The 7,022-nt window shown below is 47.2% G+C and overlaps 1 non-coding gene across 1 annotated transcript, besides 1 other annotated feature; it reads right to left on the bottom strand.

Moving 5' to 3' along the window:
- On the bottom strand, positions 678-779 carry LOC124905280 (small nucleolar RNA U13). Its single transcript, XR_007068443.1, has one exon. It is a non-coding gene; the product is annotated as a small nucleolar RNA U13 (small nucleolar RNA).
- Positions 6,115-6,772: an enhancer, noted in NCBI's record as "NANOG-H3K27ac-H3K4me1 hESC enhancer chrX:123261133-123261790 (GRCh37/hg19 assembly coordinates)". NCBI's record gives its function as "activates a minimal SCP1, AML or CMV promoter by ChIP-STARR-seq in primed H9 embryonic stem cells {active_cell/tissue: H9 hESC(primed)}" and the evidence as "EXISTENCE:reporter gene assay evidence [ECO:0000049][PMID:30033119]".

Here is a 7,022-nt window from a genome sequence, read left to right as displayed (position 1 = left end):
AGTAGAGATGGGGTTTCACCATGTTGGTCAGGCTGGTCTTGAACTCCTGACCTCAGGTGATCCACCAGCCTTGGCCTCCCAAAGTGCTGGGATTACAAGTGTGAGCCACCGCGCCCGGCCTATCCTGGTACATTTTCAAAACTCCAGGCTTAGATTTCACTAGTTTTTCCACTAATGTCCTTTTTCTATTGCAGGATCCAATCTAGGATACTGCATTGTGTTTAGCTGGCCTTCCTTTTAATCAGCAATAGACAACCAGAAATTTGAGGGCAGCCCATCTCTTGTTCAGGATATCCCTTGTTAGAGAAAGGCTGTTCTTACTTTTTACAACACCATAAAGAGCATTAAAACTGGAAAGTCTGCCTAGTACGTTTGCTGGTTTCTGAGGACATCATTGCTCCACTGGTTCTTCTTCCACCCGACTCTTGAGATCCTGCCTCAGCAACTTTCTCCAACATTTAATGTACCTTCTTCCATCCAAGAGTGGTTTCCTGCAATTTTTACATCTATACTTAGGGGAAATTAGAAACAATGCATAACCTCCAACAATCATTTAATGATTCCAGTGATGCTTCACCTCTGCAGCCTCTTCTTCTCTAAAGAAAACCATGGTCCTCTCTGGCTCTTCTTATATTCGGTCTCCTGGTCAACTTCTTTCCCTCCATTTTTTTTTTTCACATCAGATGGGTAATGTGCCAAGATGTCATGACAAGGTTTGAGGGAGGCACATCTCACATAACAGCATGAAAATCCAGTCATCACAAAAAAGATGAAAGAGTCTTTCTTTTTTCAGTTATCTCCCTTTTTTCACTGCAGGTGCACTCTCCACTTAACTTGCCCACCCTAGTAATTTTAAAAGGACCCAGCTCACAAAAGGAAGAGACTTATGTCTTCTGGGGCAGGGGTGGGGGTGGTATTAGTGAAGGCACGGGATGCTATGTGGAAGTGAAGCCAAATGAAGCAGGATGTTATAATGTTCCTCTGTGTGCTCTTATGGATTAAAATCATCCCAGACACTTTCTAAGTCACATCATCTAGGACAGTTCTGGAGCAGGGGAGAAAGTAAGAGTCAGCTGTAGGGATGCATTGAAAGTTAGCTTTGGAGCCAGGCGCGGTGGCCCACGCCCATAATTCCAACACTTTGGGTAGGCCAAGGCAGCTGGATCACTTGAGGCCAGGAAATCGAGACCAGCCTGGCCAACGTGGTGAAACCCCATCTCTACTAAAAATATAAAAATTAGCTGGGCATGGTGGCGGGTGCCTGTAATCCCAGCTACTTAGGAGGCTGAGGCAGGAGAAACACTTGAACCCGGGAGGTGGAGGTTGCAGTGAGCTGAGATCGTGCCACTGCACTCCAGCCCGGGTGACAGAGCGAGAGTCTGTCAGAAGGAAAGAAGGAAAGAAAGAGAGAAAGAGAGAAAGGAAAGAAAGGAAAGAAAGGAAAGAAAGAAAGAGAAAAGTAAAGAAAGTTAGCTTTGGCCTTAATATTTGCCCAAAATCTGCTCTCACCTTTGGCCTTATCCTTTGGAAGGCCAAATGTCTACCTCAACATTACTTCTGCCATCCCAGAACTGGTGCAAGATGTGATCTTATATGTTATCATCATATATAATCAATACCAAACTGTCGGTAATATGAACAAAGAATATAATTTAGGTTTATTTTTAATATCTAAGCATTTTAAATATAGGTAAGCATTCTAGAGGTCAACTGGGGTAAAAACCTCCCTATATGCCTTGTATGTCGAAATGTTTCAGTCATTTGAAGTATAAATATATATTTATTATGGCAGGAGTTAAATGCTACAATACTTAATGGGGATTATGAAAGTAATTTTATGTACAAACATAGGAACTTACAAAAAGTTATTAATAAATAGGGAAATAGGTGAACAGTCAATACAAATATTAAGGGCCAGACATTGTGGCTCATGCCTGTAACCCCAGCACTTTGAGGGGTCAAAATGGGAAGATTGCTTGAGGCCAGGAGTTTTAGACTACCAAAGTTTTTTTTTAAACTTAGCCAGGTGTGGTGGCACACATCTGTAGTTCCAGCTATTCCGGAGGCTAAGGTGGGAAGATCACTTGAGCCCAGGAGTTTGAGGTTACAGTGAGCTATGATTGCACCACTGCACTCCATCCTGAGCCATAGAGTGAGACCCTGTCTCAAAATCCAAGAATAAAATAAAATAAAATATTAGGTTAATATGCAGTAGCCAAATACATTTAAGATAATCATATTCTTTTGGAGCAAATACTTTTTTAAATTATAAAACAAAAATAAAAATTAGATATAATTCTAATCTTTGTAGAATTTTTTTTTTGCATCGGCATTTGGAACAATAAACAAAATAGCCTTTAAGAATTTTATTGGCTGGCGGCAGTGGCTCACGTCAGTAATCCCAGCACTTTGGGAGGCCGAGGCTGGTGGATCACCTGAGGTCAGGAATTCAAGACCAGCCTGGCCAACGTGACAAAACCCTGTCCCTACTAAAAATACAAAAATTAGCCTGGCGTGGTGGCGCATGCCTGTAATCCCAGCTATTCGGGAGGCTGAGGCAGGAGAATTGCTTGAACCCGGGAGGCGGAAGTTGCAGTGAGCTGAGATCACGCCATTGCACTCTGAGTGAGACTCTGTCTCAAAAAATAAATAAATAAATAACTTTATTTAATTTTTAATTGTTTAATTATAAGGCCATGAGTGTTTTAAGAAAAAGTCTTATTTGAAAATCCTTCATAGTTATGAAGACAAAATAAAAGCTAAATGTCAACTTTTCTGCCTCAGAAGTTCATGAGGAAAAAAATCCAAAATCACTTGCAACAGCCATGATAAATCATGTTTCATCCAAATATAGTAACAAAGAACGTAATGACTATAAAGACAAGAAAGTGTTAGAGACAAGTAAGGTAACCAAAGCTCATTTGATTCTCATTAAGCAAGCTTCAAAAAAACAGACTTTACAGGAATCCTTTAAGGCAATTCCTTATTGTGTTGAGTCTATGGAGTTTAAGAATCTAAACAAAACTTGTTGAAATGATGCTTATAGACTGCCAACAATTTTCAGTAGTTGAAATTGAAGGATTTTTGAAATGTGCCCAAGCTATGAATCTCAGGTACAAAATTCCTTCTAAAAATTAAATTACTGAAAAATGTTTTGTCTGAATTATATTCTACTGTGCACAAAAATGATTAGCAATACTATTAGCTATGCTACTTTTAAAACTTTGTTCATTGTACCCTTGGAAATGCAAAATCAACCAGAAATCTTTTTTAAAATCACAGCACAATGGATTAATGCTTTGTTGTACTTTGCTTACAGTAGCAGTTAGCTATTGCTATGTTATTTTAAAAACCACCCAAAAACTTAGTGGTTTTAATAAAGCACCATTTATTTGGCTAACAATTCTGCAGGTTGTGAGTTTAATTCGGGCTCAGCTGGGCAGTTCTTCCAGTCTTAGCTGGGCTCCTTCATGCGTCTATGGTCAACTGTAGATGAGCTAGGCAAATCGGCTTCCGGAATTTGACTAGATGCATACATGCAATGAATGCTAAGATACAGGTGGCAATTCGTAGATTTTTTTTTTTTTTTTTTTGAGATGGAGTCTCACTCTGTCACTCAGGCTGGAGTGCAGTGGTGTCATCTTGGCTCACTGCAACCTCTGCCTCCCGGGTTCAAGAGATTCTCCTGCCTCAGCCTCCTGAGTAGCTGGGATTACAGGCGTGCACCACCACACCCAGCTGATTTTTGTATTTTCAGTAGAGGCGGGGTTTCACGATGTTGGCCAGGCTGGTCATGAACTCCCGACCTCCAGTGATCTGCCCACCTCAACCTCCCAAAGTGCTGGGATTACAGACGTGAGCCACCGTGACCAGCCAGTATCTTAAGAGTCTATTACATTGCTCTATTAACACATCTAGGTCCACTGTTCAAAGACAAATTTCTCTCAAAAGATTGTATAAAACATCAAGAGCTGGTTTTCTAGTTAAGTTGTAGAAGCACATTCCACTCTGCCTCTCCCACTGAATGCAGCTATAAAACCTGGATAGAATGCATGGAGCATCTATTTGAGAACTCCATAAAGTATGTGGTAGCGGACATATTGGAAAAGAAGACAAGAATTCAAAGTAAACTTGCAATCCTATCACAGCATGGACAGCAGCAGTGGCTGCAGCAGTCAAAGGGCCTCTCAGGGGCCTAAAACTCTGAGGAGGTGTGGTAACAAGACAGGGGAGCAAACACCCATTGGTTCATTTCCCTCTGTCTCTTTCCTTCCAGACATGGGCACAGTCACAAGAAGTATTAATATATGGCAGAATGAACTAACTAAAAATGCCAGTTTCCTGGTCAGAGGACTGAATATGGAAGCCTTAGAAACCTGAAAGTATCAGAAAGATGGCAGAGAGGGAAAGAGGGGAAATTCAGAAAAATGACACCATAAAATTGTTTATGAACTCCTTAGAGACCTATACACCAAAAAAAAAAATGTCATTTAAAAGTATGTTATATTGGCCGGGCGCGATGGCTCATGCCTGTAATCCCAGCACTTTGGGAGACCAAGGTGGGTGGATCACTTGAGGTCAGGAGCTCCAGACCAGCCTGGGCAACATGGTGAAACCCCGTCTCCACAAAAAATACAAAAGTTAGCATGGGTAGTGGCAGACGCCTGTAATCCCGGCTATTCGACAGGCTCAGGCATGATGAGAATCACTTAAACCTGAGAGGCACAGGCTGCAGTGAGCCAAGATCTTGCCACTGCACTCCAGCCTGGGTGACAGAACAAGACTCTGTCTCAAAAAATATACCTATTAATAAAAATGTTCAGCTCCCAGCCGCCTGCCTTGGCCTCCCAAAGTGCCGAGATTGCAGCCTCTGCCCGGCCGCCACCCCGTCTGGGAAGTGAGGAGCGTCTCTGCCTGGCCACCCATCGTCTGGGACATGAGGAGCCCCTCTGCCTGGCTGCCCAGTCTCGAAAGTGAGGAGCGTCTCTGCCCGGCTGCCATCCCATCTAGGAAGTGAGGAGCGCCTCTTCCCGGCCGCCATCCCATCTAGGAAGTGAGGAGCGTCTCTGCCCGGCCGCCCATCGTCTGAGATGTGGGGAGCGGCTCTGCCCCGCCGCCCCGTCTGGGATGTGAGGAGCGCCTCTACCCGGCCGCGACCCCGTCTGGGAGGTGAGGAGCGTCTCTGCCCGGCCGCCCCGTCTGAGAAGTGAGGAGCCCCTCCGCCCGGCAGCCACCCCGTCTGGGAAGTGAGGAGCGTCTCCGCCCGGCAGCCACCCCGTCCGGGAGGGAGGTGGGGGGGTCAGCCCCCCGCCCGGCCAGCCGCCCCGTCCGGGAGGGAGGTGGGGGGGGTCAGCCCCCCGCCCGGCCAGCCGCCCCGTCCGGGAGGTGAGGGGCGCCTCTGCCCGGCTGCCGCTACTGGGAAGTGAGGAGCCCCCCCGCCCGGCCAGCCGCCCCGTCCGGGAGGGAGGTGGGGGGGTCAGCCCCCCGCCCGGCCAGCCGCCCCGCACGGGAGGTGACGGGCGCCTCTGCCCGGCCGCCCCTACTGGGAAGTGAGGAGCCCCTCTGCCCGGCCACCACCCCGTCTGGGAGGTGTACCCAACAGCTCATTGAGAACGGGCCATGATGACAATGGCGGTTTTGTGGAATAGAAAGGGGGGAAAGGTGGGGAAAAGATTGAGAAATCGGATGGTTGCTGCGTCTGTGTGGAAAGAGGTAGACATGGGAGACTTTTCATTTTGTTGTGTATTAAGAAAAATTCTTATCCTGTTAATCTATAACCTTACCCCCAACCCTGTGCTCTCTGAAACATGTGCCGTGTCCACTCAGGGTTAAATGGATTAAGGGCGGTGCAAGATGGGCTTTGTTAAACAGATGCTTGAAGGCGGCAGGCTCGTTAAGAGTCATCACCACTCCCTAATCTCAAGTACCCAGGGACACAAACACTGCGGAAGGCCGCAGGGTCCTCTGCCTAGGAAAACCAGAGACCTTTGTTCACTTGTTTATCTGCTGACCTTCCCTCCACTATTGTCCTATGACCCTGCCAAATCCCCCTCTGCGAGAAACACCCAAGAATGATCAATAAAAAATAAATAAATAAATAAATGTTCAATGTGAAAACTTCTTTTTTTTTTTTTTTTTTTTTTGAGACAAGGCCTCACTCTGTTGCCCAGGTTGGAGTGCAGTGACACAGTCACAGCTCCCTGCAGCCTAGAACTCCCGGGCTCAAGTGATCCTCCTGCCTCAGCCTCCGGACTAGCTGGTGAAATGAGAGAGTTCTCTTATTCCCCTTGCAGGGCATGCAACAGAGGTGTGGTTCCCTTATTCAGTGCCCTGCTGCTCAAACCCCTAGGGGGAGCATGCAGACAAGCGGGTGCAGAGGCCGTGAAGAGTGCTTTTGGGCTCTGTCCCCACAGCAGGACTCCCAAAGCCCAAGTGGGCGTGTGTTCCATGGCTTGGGTTAGTCAGCTCAGCAGACCCTCTGCCTTATCGCAAGGACATGGGGCGAGTGTGACAGGAGTTCAAAACTGGCTGCCTGGGCAACAAAGCAAGACACTATCTCTCCTGAGTTCTTGCCCAGTGTACCGGAAGAATCAGATCACACGTGGGCTGGAAGGTAGAGTGCAAGGTTTTATTGAGTGGTGGAGGTGGCTAGATGGATGCTGAACCGGAATCAAGGAATGGAGTGGGAAGGTGGTCTTCCCCTGGAGTCGGGCCACCCAGCGGCGGGACTCTTCTCCAACTGCCCTGGGCGGAAATCCCCTCGGCATCTGCGCCATTCCACTGTTGCTGGTCTGCAGGTGTCTGCTGGTGTGTTCCTCTGCTCCTCACAATGTCTGGCTGCTTGTGTCTGTGCCCGCTAGGTCTCGGGTTTTTATGGGCACAGGATGCCAGCGGGCGTCGGGGCGGGGGGCAGTGGCGGGCCAAAAGGCAATTTTTGGGCTTGAAAACAGAAATACCTGTCCTCATTCAGGTCCATGGGCACAGGCCCAAGGGTGGAGGCCTTGGCCAGGGACCCCACCCTT

Source organism: Homo sapiens, chromosome X, assembly GCF_000001405.40.
Source record: "Homo sapiens chromosome X, GRCh38.p14 Primary Assembly".
Classification (NCBI taxonomy): Eukaryota; Metazoa; Chordata; class Mammalia; order Primates; family Hominidae; genus Homo; species Homo sapiens.
This window is presented reverse-complemented; position numbering and strand designations above follow the sequence as displayed.